At 37.7% G+C, this 16576-nt stretch overlaps 3 annotated features.

Annotated features, from left to right (window-relative positions):
- Positions 7613-8174: an enhancer, noted in NCBI's record as "OCT4-NANOG hESC enhancer chr4:86323483-86324044 (GRCh37/hg19 assembly coordinates)". NCBI's record gives its function as "activates a minimal SCP1, AML or CMV promoter by ChIP-STARR-seq in primed H9 embryonic stem cells {active_cell/tissue: H9 hESC(primed)}" and the evidence as "EXISTENCE:reporter gene assay evidence [ECO:0000049][PMID:30033119]".
- Positions 7613-9185: a biological region, named in NCBI's record as "CDK7 strongly-dependent group 2 enhancer GRCh37_chr4:86322472-86323671".
- Positions 7986-9185: an enhancer, noted in NCBI's record as "CDK7 strongly-dependent group 2 enhancer chr4:86322472-86323671 (GRCh37/hg19 assembly coordinates)". NCBI's record gives its function as "activates an origin of replication core promoter dependent on BRD2, BRD4, P300/CBP, MED14 and CDK7 cofactors, with strong dependence on CDK7, by STARR-seq in HCT116 cells {active_cell/tissue: HCT116}" and the evidence as "EXISTENCE:reporter gene assay evidence [ECO:0000049][PMID:35650434]".

Below are 16576 nucleotides of genomic sequence, written 5' to 3'. Positions count from 1 at the left end.
AAAGCAAGCTAACCCAACACTGTGCGAAGCCTTTTATAAGGGCCTTCATCTCGGTTTCAAGGGAAGGAGCCCTCATAACTTAATCACCTCTTAAAGGCTCTACCTCTTAATACAAATCACAAATACAATCACATTGGCCATTAAGTTGCAACACCTGAATTTTGGAGAAGATACAGACATGCACTGGAGATATGGCAGGTTCAGTTCAGACCACCTCTTCATTCTCAATAAAGACAATGTGTCAATAAAGTGAGTCTCAAAAATTTTTTTATTTCCCAGTGCATATAGAAGTTAGTTTATACTATACTGTAGTCTATTAAGTGTGCAACAGCATTATGTCTAAAAAGCAATGTACATACCTTAATTTTAAAATACTTTATTGCTAAAAATGCTAACGATCATCTGACACAGAGACACAAAGTGAGCCCATGCTGATGAAATGAAAAAATAGCGCCAAAAGACTTGCTTGATGCAGGGTTGCTACAAACCTTCGGTTTGTACAAAAAGCAAAGGAAAAAAGAAAAGGAAAAAATGCAACATCTGTGAAGTGCAATAAAGTGAAGTGCAATAAAACAAGGTACACATGTACCTTCAAACCATAGCAATGAGTGAAACAGATATGGCACCTGCCCACATGTAACTTACAACATCAGCTAGTATGCACAAAAGAAAAGCTTGTAAATGATGTGAATTCCCAGACTCATCTCTGAGAATCCAGTTTGGTTTATCTGTAGCAGGGCTCAGGATTCTGCATTTCTAATATGTATACCTAGTGTCTGATGCAGATGGTCTGATGACAGTACTTTGCAGAACAATTGGTCAATCATTGGTTCTGTAAGGTGTGCTACTGGGTTGAAATGGGACCACATGAGTTCATTACAACTCAATAACCATCACTGGGAAAGCAATTTGAAATATATGCTACATACTAGACAATTGACTCATTAAGGGCAGGGAGAATATCAGAGTAGCACTTAAGCAAGAAAGGTTATCTGATGGGCATTAACTCCTAATAAGAGACCAGTTAGGAGTCAGGAATACTCAAAGCCCCTTTCCAACAGGAAGCCTTTTGCTACTCACGTAAAAGCTATTTCCTAGTTAATTCCTCTAGAGGCCATGCAGGACCTTGACTCATTGCGGAATGGCCTGACTGAGAATCAAGAAAATCTGACTGCCATGGAGGATGAGAAACTCAAAATTTTAGTTCTTAGCAGTAGTTTCTATTTTCATTCCCCACATTGAGATTCTGCCTGTTCCATTTGCCTGGATATTAAATATGAATGACAACCAAAGATTTTGCATGTATCGTTATCTAAATAATAAAAATTCAATGTCCATTAATTTTAAAACTACTATATGATTAAAATTATAACCCTTATAAAGTGTATTGTCCAACAGAAACATTAAAAACTAATGCCCTAGAACACTGATTATACACTGGTGTTAAGGAGAGACCATTGCTGGAAGAACCAGAAGACCTGGGTTTTACAGGCGTCACTAGCCATAGAGGTTGTAAAATTCACTTAATTGCCAGGGATATCCAATTCCTCTATAAAATGAGAGGCTGGTCAAATTGACCTACAATAATATTTTCTAATTTTTGTTTACAAACCTATGTGGAATATGAAATTAATATAGTGACTCAAGAATCAAATAAATAATAATAACATTCTTGTTTATAATAACTATAAACATTTTTATTTTGTGTGTATTTTGTGTATATGTTTGTTCTAGATATACATATGTAGATACTGAGTCATGAAAATGTATTTCTTATTGTAGATTTTAGTCAACACAGTTGGAAAGTCACTGATTTAGAAGACCTTTCAGCTCTAAGTTTCTCTAATTCTGTGATTTCACCTCACCTGTTACTGACCTTGTAAATCACCACATGATACTAACAAATCCAAATTTGTTTCTGCTTTGCTACAGAGTCAAGCACCAGATGTGTCCATTATCAGCATATTCTAAAGAATGTTTATGCTTCCAGAACTGCCCAATCTCCTGTGGCCTCTTCTGGCCTCTTCTTCTCTTATGACCTGATTCTGGTATTTTTCGCTGACCAATAGAGCTAAGATAAAACTGGACTACATAGCTACAACTGTTTTGTGTAAAATGAGAAAAAAAGATTTTTTTTAATGAGGTAAAAAAGTCATCCTGCCAAACTATAGAATGAGAAAAATATAAAAGCCCACCTGAGACATGATCTCAGACAGTATATAATTTAATTAAAACATGATGTTTAGAGGAGCTGGAATAGAGAGCATAACAAAACCAAGATAAACTAAAACCCTAGAGAAACTATCAGCAGAGTTTCCCAGCCTCTTACTCTTCAAATTCCTCGTATCCATTCTGAGAATACTGTTGAACCTACTTTAATCTCCAAGAGCAATTAAGTTAGGCACATTATTTTGCAACTTGAGATTTATAAGACATTCTTTTAGTGATAGCGATTTTTTGGTATAGTGTGCATGGGGCAAGAGGTACCACCTTTCCCTTTCACTTCCATTCTATCATCACAGAAAATTGTATCAGGATCACGTGAGGGAACTTTTCAGTTACCCCTGTACACCCAGAAATTCTAAGAATCAAAGAGTATATGCACTCACATTTTCACATCTTTCCACATCTAAAGTCCATCCCAGTAGCGCATAGTTATGACTAGAATTTTTTAGTTATATGACACCTTTGCAAAATACTTCCCCACCCCATATCTAATTGATTTACACAGATGCCAGGGAGCTTTTGAAGTGTGATCATACGTAAACGTGTCTGGCAAACTGAGGACACAGGAAAGAGTGACTAATAGAAGTCAAATTTCAAGTAGAGTCAGCAGGGGCTTGAGAGAGACTTAATATCAAGGACAAAATATAGGAAGGTTGAGGAGAATTTGCAGAGTTGGAAAGGAAAAGTAGTTTCAGATACACAGCTAATACTGTAATCTCTCCCACCTAGCCTCTGCGTTGGTTTAGATATACCAGAAAGAGAAAAGGGCCATTTTTGCTAACTAAAGGAGCTATCCCACTACTTAACACCTAGGAGTCTAAGTTCCTTGCTAAGGAATCTCCATAACCAAACATATTCTACAGGAGGAATGCCATTCCCATGCCCACTTTGTAGCAGAAGAATTGGGTGGGATGAGAGCACTGATGACCTGAGCCATCAGGCTGGCTGCCTTCTCTGGCAGTGGGTCCTGTTCAGTAGAGGTAAGTGTTGTAGCCCTGCCTAGCATCCACAGCAGTAAGTGTGTGCCTTCAGTTAGATGGCATCAGTGACTGAAGATCCCTAGATCTGAGAGTAGAAGCAAGGACAGTGGTGCTATTGAATCCTAAATCAACAGGTTGTGTGTCTCTGTTGCTGAGACTACCCATAGCAGGCCTTCTGCAGTGACAACAGAGGCAGCAGCAAAAAGCAGGACTCATTTAGGGGTACATGGAAAATATCCTTGAAGAATCTCAGATATATCTGGGTAGAACTTTGCAGGGCTGGAATGCCCGATAATATAGTACAAAACTTTAGCCAGTGAAATTTAGATTCAACTGATGGAATTGTTACAAACTGGTGAGGCCTATAGATATTTGTATTGTATTAAAAAAGGAGTAACTTTATTTTAATCCCAAACTGAAATCACAAAGCCATTTCTGAAACAAGGGTATTAAACATCCATGGTTTATCTTTGCCAGCAGAGTAATTGCAAAGAAACCATATTCACAGAACAAACACTTATTAGGAACAATAACAACAGGGTGGCCCATCAGGTAGGTGATATTTATCAATCATTTATAAAGTATACTGCACTATGCAAGGTTTTGGAAGATGAACAGAAATTCACCAGTTAGACTTAGGTGCTCACAAATATCTCCTGATCTATCTGACTCAAATTCTTCTGAGAGTGAAAAAAAGCATAGTAGTTTATAGTTTATTCAGTAAGAGTCGGAATTTTCTCTATACTTAAGAGGAGTGGAGATAATCAATTATCTCAATTAACTTTTCTGGGAGCTTTCAAAAAATTTAAGCAAAATTAGCATTGGTTAATCTTGAAACATTATCTTGTAAACCTCAAAATGAATTTAATTTCTCAGTTCCTGTGAAATATCAATTCCAGGCTTAGTCCTTCAGTTAATGAGACTGTATTGAATTCAGTACTGCCTCAGGCACTTTTGGCATTTGGCAGTAAGCATTGCTATGGATAAAAACAGTGCTAAAAAGACACCACCTAATTCTTTGAAAATCTAAAGTTTGACTGGGAAGGTAAACGACACAAAATGAAAGAAATCAAGATTATAATTTCCAGAATCTTGTTTTGCCCTTTCTGTGGAATATCTATGTAATCCCACAAATACTTTATTTTCACACAATATCATGTGAGTATTTTTGAAAGAATTATTCAATATGCACAGGAATATAAAAAAGATAAATAGATAATTGATGTAAACAGTGCCTATGATGGAGGAAGAATCCGTTTTGAACAAATACTTTCACACTTGCTGATTGTCTTAGTTCACATTCAATAATGGGCCCATGATCTTGTTGAAGGCCACATATCATAAAGTTAGTAAAAATGTATTCATGGAAAAAGGGAGTCCAGAAAGAGGAAATGGAAAATTAGGTAATATATTTCAAAATAAGGCTGCTGTCTTGTAGGTAACTGAGAACTGGTGAATAATTTTGGTTATGTATATAGCTATAGACTATACACATATATACCTAAGCACAATCAGTTGTTGAATTAAAAAAATGAAATAACTTTTCCCCAAATAATTGGTTTGCTCCTCAAGAAATCATAAACTAATTAAACTTCTGGATTAGAGAAAAATGTAAAGTTATTTACTTCAAGAATCCACTTAAAAGTCAAAATTTCTATACATTGTTTTTAGAAAATGTTTGTCTCTTCAGCCTCTGGTTGGTCCCTCTGTGATGGAGAATTCATAGGACACCAGGGCAGGCTGAACTCCTGGTTGTCTCTTCCCTGCTCCATTATTGCCAGCATTCATTTCCATGGCCACTGGCAATAAATGTACCTCTTGTAGACACTTTGTCACCCTCAATTCACTATCCTTTTGTTCAATTTATTATTATTACTATTTCACTAGCTTTAGGGGTACAAGTGGTTTTTGGTTACATGGATTTATTGTATAGTGGTGAAATCTTGGCTTCCAGTGTTAATTAAATGAAGATGTTATCACCCATATTTCAGCCACATCTCATTTATGATGGTGGATATTGTCATAAAGCCTATGTGTTGTGATTCCTCTTCATCAAATGACATTACTAGAAGATATACCTTCCAAACATAGACAGGCTGGGTTTTCCCAGGTCATCCTTAATATTTGACTTTTAACAGAATTCTGGGCAAAAAATATATTATCTAAAATACAACCTAAGTTTTAATGTGGTATTAGAAGTATTACATGATTTTCAAATTTGAGCAGGGAGATGAGGTTCCAGGTGACAGCAGGAAACAGCAGACTCCTGGCCAGATGAGACTGAGTAAAACAAGGACACCAATCTCTTGGATATGGGACTGCAGCCACTTGCTGGAAACCCACAAACACTGACCAAGCAATTGCTGCTTTGGAGGAGGAACAAGGTAATATCAGGATGGCTGAGGTCTGACTGAGGAGTAGCAAACTAGAAAGAGGAGTAGATCAAAGCACAGACCAGGTATATAAGCAGAAATAAAAGGGTATTTTTTTTTGAGATGGAGTCTCACTCTGTTGCCCAGGCTGGTGTGCAGTGCCACAATCTCAGCTCACTACAACCTCTGCCTCCCCAGGTCAAGCGATTCTCCTGCCTCAGCCTCCCTAGTAGCTGAGATCACAGGCGTGTGCCTCTACACCCAGCTACTTTTTGTATTTTTAGTAGAGACGGCATTTCACCATGTTGGCCAGGCTGGTCTCAAACTCGTGACCTCAGGGGATCCACCCACCTTGGCCTCCCGAAGTTCTGGGATTACAGGCGTGAGACACCGCACCCAGCCTGTTTTCAGGTGTGAGCCACTGCCGCCGGCCAAAAGTATTTTTTAAACCAGGGCTTAAAGAGAAACCTCCTCCAACTGTAAGCTTCTTGAGTTTAACAGCTATGCTTAGACCATAAACATACATATATACCTCAGACACATATCCCTGTCTGAGGGGGTCATTCAATTAATGTTTGATAAAGAATAAATAATTTGCACCAACGGTTTACTTGAGAACTAGACCTCAATCCCCAATTGTCCACTCAATTTTATATTTCATTGTACTCTATTTTAACTTTTTAAAACTGAGATATAATTTACATATGGATCTGAAGGATTTAGTTCACTGACTTAACGAATGCCACCACGTGACCAGGCCGGGCTTCAAGGATGTAAGACCTGTGCAGTTGCAAAGGGACCCATGCGTAGCAGGACCTTGTTCTTGGTTTAATGCTTTGCTATTGCCACTTTGAAATTCTTAGTAACTTTTGAACAAGCAGTCCCATGTTTTCATTTTGCATGGGCCTACCAATTATGTAGCAGGTCCTGCGTGTTATGCACACCTCTATCTAGATACAGAACATTTTAACCACTGCAGAAGATTTCTTCATGCTTTTCATCATAGTTTACTTTTACCTATTCTGAAACTTCTAGAATAAACAGTGTGTTCTCTCTTTTATTAAGGGGCTTACCTACAAAGAATCCAGCAGCACAGTAGGTCTTAACATACAGTTTCTATATAACAGACCAATGACCAGTCTTTAGTAATATGTTTTCATAATCTCTGATCTACCTAGAACATACCAGTAGCTTAATAACTGCATGGCTAAGTAAATGAATAAATGATCTTCAGTGTTTTCTCAGACTCTTAAAACCTGTATCTTCAAGATCAATGCTTGGACAGTGTTTATTTTTCTCTGGAATCTAGGTGAGTACTGAAATATTCCTTTTAAGGATATAAAATTTAGGGAACAAATCAGAAAAACATAGATAACTTGTCCCTTTATGTATTAAATTACCATAAATAACTAAATATATGACATCTCCCAAGTAGCAAATTTTAGAACAATTACATTTTAAAAAGAATAATTACCATTACATTTTATTTTAATGGGGGCCTATAATATTCTCACATGTACGAGATCAAGCTAACCACATTTGCTTAATTACAAAGGCATTTTGTCTACTTCTGATTTCTAGGGTAGAGGCTGACAAGTAATATTAACAATGATAGTAATAAACAATTTCAGTAGCTAATATTTATCTGAGCTCTTATCATTACCAGGCAACACATCAAGGGCTTACACATTTTAACAGTGAGACCTGGGCATGTGACTCATTATCTACATTTGAAAATTAGAAGAATAACTGCAACTTTGCTAGGTTTATTGTGAAGATTATTGGTAAAATGCACACAAAGTCCTTAGCACAGTGTCTAGCATAAAATAAGAGCTTGGAAAACATTAGCTCCTATTATCATCAGATTGTAATTTAAACAAAGTGACAATGCCCACTTTAAAGGTGAAGGAACCACTGCTTGCAGAAATTGATGAGCTTACCAGGTGGGTGCTGCCATGTAAGTAGGAGAGCTAGGAGTGACACAAGTCTGACTCTAAATTCTTGTATTTAACTACTCTAAGTCACTGCCTCCCTGAAATGACGAAACATGTGCTTTACAACTCGAAAGATAAACTGTAATTATGCATTATGTATCTCAATAGATCAATTAATTGTTTTTATCAAAATATTTGCCTATAGCATCAAGTACGCTCATTGTATTTTTATCTTCTAGTGCCGTGATTTGCTCTGAAAGTTCAGTCAAGTGACTTTTGCATACTTTTCAGCAAGCAGTTAGCCAAGGATAGCAACATTTTCTGATCTCATATGCAACACAGCATGACTCTCATTTCGCTTCATGGATGAACAAAGCTAGTCAACAGCTCTATTTGATTCAAGGTCTGCCAGGAACTGTCCTTTCTGAGTTGTATAACACAGCAAGCATGAATAACATTACACTGATTCATCAAGATGTCTCTGTTCCTTGAGTCCAGGGAAGATTTCTGTGTTAGATCGTTCTTGCATTGCTATAAAGAAATATCTGAGGTTAGGTAACTTATGAAGAAAGAGGTTTATGGCTTGAGGCCACAAGTTCAAGACCAGCCTGAGCAACAAGGGAAACCCCCATCTCTAGGAAAAAATTAGCTGGGCATGGTGGCACAGGCCTACAATACCAGCTACTTGGGAGGCTGAGGTTGGAGGATTGCTTGAGCCCAGGAATTTGAGACTGCAGTGAGCCATAATCATGCCACACTGCTCCAGCCTGGGTGACAGAGTAAGACCCCATCTCTAAAAAAAATAATAAGGTTTGTTTGGCTCATGGTTCAGCAGATAGTACAAGCGTGGTGCCAGCATCTGCTTCTGTTGAGGGACTCAGGAAGCTTATAATCATGGCAGAAAGAGAAGCAGGCATCTCACACTGAAAGAGTGGGAGCAGGAGAGTGAAGGGGTAGGTGCTACACACTTTTAAACACAGATCTCCCATGAACTAACTGAGCAAGAACTCACTTATCACTAAGGGGATGGCGCTAAACCATTCATGAGGGATCCACCACCACAGTGCAGTCACCTCCCACCAGGCCCCACCTCTAACACTGGCGATTATATTTCAACATGAGATTTGGAGGGGATAAATATCCAAACCATACCAATCTCTGTAATCATCTTTTAAAATATAACACTACTTCCACAGATTGTTTGCTTTTGACATAGGAAGTTTTGACTTGAAAATATAGGATGTTGTGTTGAATATCTTCTCTGCCCCTCACAGCCGCTCTCCATCCTTTACCACCCTGGGACACTGCCCTACAGAGATTGTGTTGGGAGTTACCTTGTCTCCTCTGCTCTCCAGCAAGGCAGCCACTGGAATAGAGTGGAGGCAACAGCAGGATCAAAAGGAGGGAGGAGAGAAAGATCATGCACTTATGTCCTTCTCTCCTTCCTACTGTGTCACCTCAGGTAAGCTGCATTTTTCAGAAGCCAGCTGTCTTTATACACCTCTCTTACTGCAGTTGTAGTACCCTGGCAGAAGTAACGATTCTGATATTACTGCTCAGGTATAAGCATACCTCAGAGATATTGCAGGTTCCATTTCAGATCACTTCAATTAAGTGAATATTGCAATTAAGCAAATCGCATAAAATTTTTGGTTTCCTAGTGCATATAAAACTTATATTTACATGGTACTGTGGTCTATGAAGGGTGCAATAGCATTATGTCTAAAAAAGCAATGTACATACCTTAATTTAAAATATTTTATTGCCAAAAAATACTAAAGATCATCTGAGTCATCAGTGAGCTGTAATCTTTTTGCTGGTGAAATCTTGTCTCAATGTTGATGGCTGCTCATTGATCAGGATGGTGGCTGCTGAAGGCAGGGGTGGCTCTGGAAATTTTTAAGTATAAAACAACAATGACATTTGCCATGTTAATTGACTCTTCCTTCTACAAAAATATTTCTCTGTATCATGCAATGCTGTTTGATAGCATTTTAACCACAGTAGAACTTCTTTCAAAATTAAAGTCAACTCTCTTAAACCTTGCCTCTGTCTTATCAACTAAGTTTATGTAATATTCTAAATATTTTGTTGTCACTTAAACTATGTTCCCAGCATCTTCACCAGGAGCAGATTTCATCCCAAGAAACCACTTTCTTTGCTCATCCATAAGAAGCAACCCTTCATCTGTTCAAGTTTTATGACAAGATTGCAATAATTCTGTCACATCTTCAGTCTCCAATTCTAATTCTGGCCCTTTTCTTGTTTGTATCACATCTGCAGATATTTCCTCCCCTGATGTCTTGAGCCCTTCAAAGTCATCCATGAGGGTCAGAATAAACTTCTTCCAATCTCCTGTTAATATTGATATTTTGACCCCCTCCCATGAATTGCAATTGTTTAAATGGCATCTAGGATGGTGAATCCTTTCCAAAAGGTGTTCGATTTTTTTGGCCAGATCTATCAGAGGAACCACATCTATGGCAGCTATAATCTATAGAAATATATTTCTTACATAATAAGACTTGAAAGTCAAAATTACTTCTTGATTCATGGGCTGCGGGATGAATGCTGTGTTAGCAGGCAGGAAAACAACATCTATCTTCTTGTACATCTCCATTAGAGCTTTTAGGTGACCAGGTGCATTTTCAATGAGCAGTAATATTTTGAAAGAAATTCTTTTTATTTTTGAGCAGAAGGTCGCAACAGTGGGCTTACAATATTTAGTAAGCCATGCTGCAAACAGATGTGCTGTCATTCCAACTTGGTTGTTTTATATAGAGATAGAACAAACAGATTAGATTTAGTAAAATTCTTAGTGGCCCTGGGAATTTGGGAATGGTAAATGAGCAATGGCTTCAAATTAAAGTCACCAGCTGCATTATTCCCTAGTAAGGGAGTCAGCCTGTTCTTTGAAGCTTCAAAGTCAGCAAAGTGCTGACTTCTCCTTTCTAGCTATGAAAGTCCTAGATGGCAAATTCTTTTGACAGAAAGCTGTTTCTTTTACACTGAAGATCTGTTGTTTATATAACCACCTTCATCCATGATCTTAGCTGGATCTGGATAACTTGTTTTAGCTTCTACAACAGCATTTTATGCTTCACCTTGCACTTTTATGTTATGGAGACAACTTCTCTCCTTAAACCCCATAAATCAATCTCTGCTATCGTCCAACTTTTTTCTGCAGCTTCCTCACCGATCTCAGCCTTCATAGAATTGTAGAGAGGGCCTTGCCTTGGATTGGGCTTTGGTTTAAGAGGATGTTGTGGCTGGTTTGATCTTTCATTTAAATCACTAAAACTATATTCGTATCAGCAATAAGCCTGTTTCAATTTGTCATCATTCATGGGTTCACTGGAGTTACACTTTCAATTTCCTTCAAGAACATTTTCTTTGGGTTCCCAAATTGGCTGTTTGATGCAAGAGGCATAGCTTTTGGCTTATCTTGGCTTTTGACTTGCCTTTCTCACTAAGCTTAGTCATTTCTACCTTTTGATTTCATATGAGAGGTATGCAAATTTTCCTTCTACTTGAACACTTAGAGAATATTTTAGGATTATTAGTTGGTCTAATTTCAATATTGTTGTGTCTGAGGGAATAGGAAGGCCTGAGGAGAAGGAGAGAGACTGTTGAATGAGTCAGCGGAGCAGTCAGTACACAAACAACATTTAGCGATTAAGTTTGCTGTCTTCTGTGGAGGTGGTTTGTGGCTTCCCTCCCCAAATTACAATGGTAAAATCAAAGATCACTGATCACAAATCACCATAACAGATATAATAATAATGAAAAAGTTTGAAATACTATGAGAGTTACAGAGACACAAAGTGAGAATATGCTGTTGGAATTTTGACACCAATAGACTTACTTGTTCAATGCAAGGTTGCCACAAGTTTTAATTTGTAAAAACTGCAGTATCTACAAAGTGCTATAAAATAAAGCACAATAAAATGAGGTCTGACTCTACCTCACTCTCCCTTGTTCTTTTACCAAAGTTTAGCCCACCCTTTCACAAGTAGCACCTTTATTAAACTCTCCTTATATCACTCAACTCTGATTAATACAAGTGACTACATGATATGCCTGTCTGTGCTCTGCAGAGACAGCATTTTCAAAAGACTGTTCTTGAGATCGAAATAAAAAAACTTCAATGTTAAATTAGCTTCACAGACTAGGTTAAGCAAAATTAAATGTGTTTTTACTTTTGAATCTCATACTTTGGGGGGTATAAATATTCACTGAGACTCTATAAGAGAAGGAAATGGTGAGCAGAATTTTCTAAATTTTATTTTTCCCCCAGAGCAGCTTCTAGGACTATAAGGGCAGAATCAAGGTGGGATTTTAGTAGACTAATGCTGCATCCTCCTAAAGGAGGTAATGTAGAAGGATTTGATGGGAGTCATGGCTGCCAGTAACCACAGGCTCCTATCCTGGGCTGGTTGGAACATCTTAAATAGGACCCTGGGAAGTGTCAGGGGAGGCTGAGGTAATCCTGCCAAAATAGTGATGATCTCTGGCTGCTGGATTCAGCTCATTGGTATTTCTTCCACCTCCTCCCTAGTGAGGATTTCTGTTACTGGCTGTCACTTCTTATCACAATCTCTCACAACTATTTCATTACTTTCTTCTCTCTTCTGGCCACATCGCATTTGCAATGAGACTATCCAGTTGTCTTTCTGAAATGAACTAGCCTGCAGATATTTCAAAATATTCTTTCCTCAACCTTTTCACTGTTTACCCTATTATTTTTCCAGGGCTTCGAGGCATTGGTGTCAATGAGAACTGACTTCTATTGTAATTATAAGCCAGTGAGATAGTTTTCTGTTTTTTTTTTTTTTTTTTTTTTGCTTTTTGAACAGCTAACATTTTATTTAAATTAAAAGTGGTAGTTGAACATATAAAAATTTCTAAGGATGCTTCGTGTTCTATGTAAACCTAATATTTTATTTAGAGAACAAGGAATGAAACCAAGGAAGATAGAATGACATCAAAGACGTCAAATTACAAATTAGTGACAAAGCTAAAAAAAAAGTCTAATTTAGCAATCTGGACTCTCAATTCCAATTATGTCTTATTTTACCACACAATTGCTGTCTTCTCTCCTGGCTGCTCTGGGACAAAAACAATCTCATAGAAACTGCTGCAGGTAACCGAACATTCTTTTATAATTTAAGAATAGTCTCTCATATTCCTTTTGCATTTTATGTATCCAAATTTTGGAAAAGTTGACAAAGACATCATCTTAAAAACATCTAACCTAATCTGACTCGAAAAACTATATCTTGAAACCTGACTTCTAGTATGTAAAATTATCAACAGATCAGCAAACTGGCCATTTAGATATCTAATTCCAATGAGAGATGAAAAATCATAGGAAATTGCATGATTTTTATCTTTCTATGTAGAAATAGCAAAGGAAGATTTCTTTCTTTTTTTTTTTTTTTACTTTTTAATTTTCTTTCTTTTTTTTTTTAATTTTTTTTTTTATTATACTCTAAGTTTTAGGGTACATGTGCACATTGTGCAGGTTAGTTACATATGCATACATGTGCCATGCTGGTGCGCTGCACCCACTAACGTGTCATCTAGCATTAGGTATATCTCCCAATGCTATCCCTCCCCCCTCCCCCGACCCCACCACAGTCCCCAGAGTGTGATATTCCCCTTCCTGTGTCCATGTGATCCAACAATGATAGACTGGATTAAGAAAATGTGGCACATATACACCATGGAATACTATGCAGCCATAAAAAATGATGAGTTCATGTCCTTTGTAGGGACATGGATGAAATTGGAAACCATCATTCTCAGTAAACTATCGCAAGAACAAAAAACCAAACACCGCATATTCTCACTCATAGGTGGGAATTGAACAATGTTTTCTGTTTAATCACTACATGATATTAAATATATTATGGGCCATGTTAAATATTTTGAAATATTAGCCTTTTTCTTATTTTTGTGTTCATTGTTGTTTTAGAAAGTTAATAATGCCAGATATCTGAAAGTCAGATAACCTCCCAACTGTACACGCTATTTATTTTGCTCATTCTGTTTGACTCAATTCAGTTCATTTTACTAATGTACAACGCACTGTCAAAATATGTTGACACTCAAAGTAGTTTTAAATAGTACTAAATACTCTCAGCATTCAATGGTTAATTTTTGCATTCTTGGATAAACATATTTAAAAAAATACAACTTTATAGCTTAAAACCTAGACACAGTAATGACCACCTGACTCCTTGCCCACATATTTCTTAATTCCCATAGCTAGGAAGTCTTAACCTCAAAACTGATTCCATCTAGGCCTACTTGCAGGACCAGTCTTAAGTCAAAAAACTCATCCTGAACACCAGAAATTATAATTTTTTTCTTTCCTTATTCTTCCTGAAAGGATGCCTGCCTCCTCCTCTGATTGCAAGGACTAAGCCTCTGTCTTACAAGGGAGTATTTATTAGAATATAATCTTAGAGATACGTCTTACAGTGTAGTGATAAAGGCGAAGGCTCTAAAGTCCAAATGTTTGGAATTTAATTCTTGCTCCCCTAATTGCTAGATTTCTGTGTCCCACTTTTCTCACTTGTCTAATGGAGCTAGTAATAGTTTCCACCTCATCAGGTTGCTATAAGGTTTAAAATAACACATATTAATCACTCTGTAACCATTTATTATCTTAGATCCTTTGAGACTAGGGTTCTGTCTTTTTTCCCTAGCTATATCAGTCAGAATCCCAGCAGGAGACAGAATACAACCCAGAAGATTCAAAAGACTTGAAAGATTCAAGGAACATATAGAGGTGTAGGTAGGGCTAGGAGGGTAAGGGGTTTTGAGGCCCCTGAACACAAGCAACAGTTGGAAGCCATTACCACTCTAGTCTTGAAACCCTGGAATCTAATGACAACTGAAGCTGTAGGGGAGGAGCTGTCTAATAGGAACTAGAGCTGCTCTTATGAAGAAGTGGGGTCACTTCCAGAAACATGGCCCAAATAAAGCATGGGAAGGAAATTCCCTACCTTTCTCTCTTCCCCACATTCAATCACTACTGGTGCCTCCCAGTGGAAGTCAGCTGGCAAGAAATTCTTGGGAAATGAAGTTCATAGCGATAGACTTATCAGTGCAGATAGAGAGGCCAAAAGGATGAAAAATGGACCTCAGGGAAATGCCAAGCAGAAAATATCCAGGATGCCAGTCCTTAAGCAGTTTCTTGTATAATCCAATTCTTTACTTTAGAGTTACAGCTGCCACAGTTACAGATGCTCAGCTACCTCTCTTGACTCTGAATCTGTTCTCCTGAAATTGAGCCCTAAGTTCTCTAGTTCCTGACTATATTTGTCAGGCTTTAACCAAGTCAGGTTGTGCTCTTTGATCCTCAAACCTTGGTTCTAAGGGAGAACTTCTTCCAGAAGATTGTTTTTTGCATGATTATTATTTTTGACAGCCTTAATGGCCAATTCCTGTACAAATTATCATGTCAGCTGTAAAGCTGGCCCAAATTTATCATTAAGACTTAAAATAACAGAATGAACATTTTATTCTTTGTTGCTTTTGGTCATAAGTGCAGAGAGATAGTGTGGAAAGGGAAAAAATAAACACTGAGAAATGGAAAATAGGAAAATGAATTATTGAGGGATAATTCCCCATCAGTCTCTTACATTTCTGTATGTCTTAAAAGCATAGGCACTTATTCCTTTTTGATAAAGACTATATTTTCAAGAACCTTTGTATAGTGAGCAGCCTTGGAAAATAGAGATAAAGCTTTTCTCAAAAGTAGAGGGTGTGTTTGCTTACTGCCCGTTATAAAATATTCCTGGTCCCTAAATTCAGCATTCCTCTTCCATAACTCAATCCCCTATGTGTGTGGATGTGTCATCTGGCTCATTTCATATTACCTTGCAGGAACTGAGACTCAGGCAATGGCATACATGCCAATTATCTGTCACAGGTATTGACTGTGATAAACTGTATAATAAACTGAGTATGAAACTATGATCTGTGTATACCACATATGGGTATGTGGTAGCATACACAAGCATACCAAGAGACTTGTGTATGCTACCAACATACTGTAGGCTGAATGTTTGTGCCCCCGACCATGATAGGATAGTCACCTTTTACAGTTTGAATGTGTCCTCCAAAAAGCATGTGTTTGAAAGTTCATCTCCAATGCAACAGTATTGGTAGGTGGGGCCTAATGGGAGGTGTTTAGGTCATAAGAGATCCATCGTCATTAATGAATTAATGTTGATTATAAAAGGGCTTGAAGCTATGAGTTCAATCTCTTACTCTCTTGCCCTCTGTTTACCCTTCTGCCATGTGATGACACAGCAAGAAGCCCCTATCCAGTTGCTGATCCCTCAACCTTGGACTTCCCAGACTCCAGAACCATGAGCCAATAAATTTCTGTTTATTATAAATTACCCGATCTGTGGTATTCTGTTATAGCAGCTGAAAACAGACTAAGACAGTTTCCATATAAGGGGACAAAGAGACCAGAGCTCCTTCTCTCCCTACCATGTGAAGGTATAGCAAGGAGACATCAAACTGCAAACCAAGAAGTGGGCCCTCACTAGGAACTGAATCTACTGGTACTGTGATCTTGGACTTCCCGGCCTTTAGAACTGTGATAAATTTCTGTTGTTTAAGCCACCTGGTTTATGATATTTTGTTATAGCAACCCGAGACAACTTAGGGCATCAATAAAACTGTGGCATGATAACTTGTCAGGTTGCCAGTAGAATAAAATCTCAAACTCTTGACAATTGTTGACATACACTTCTACTTTGTTTAATAATACGGACTTCTTAGATAATGACTTATTTGGGAGCCATGCTAATGAGAGGCACTGTCTAGTGTAAAAGACACGGTTGGCCATTTCCAACTTTTTACCAGTTCTCACTCTGAAATAAATTCAAAATTTTTTGAAAGACACAAAATATTTTACTTAAATGGTGTAAAAGCCCATACAAAATATTCATACTGTTTCATCACTGAATAATAGCATGTCAGCTTTACACATTGTAACATATCTGGCAGGCTGAGGAAAAGCCCTATCCCTGAGACATAT

The sequence above is a fragment of the Homo sapiens genome, chromosome 4, assembly GCF_000001405.40.
Source record: "Homo sapiens chromosome 4, GRCh38.p14 Primary Assembly".
Lineage (NCBI taxonomy): Eukaryota > Metazoa > Chordata > Mammalia > Primates > Hominidae > Homo > Homo sapiens.
The sequence above is the reverse complement of the archived record's forward strand: the minus strand, read 5'-3'. Positions and strand labels throughout refer to the sequence as shown.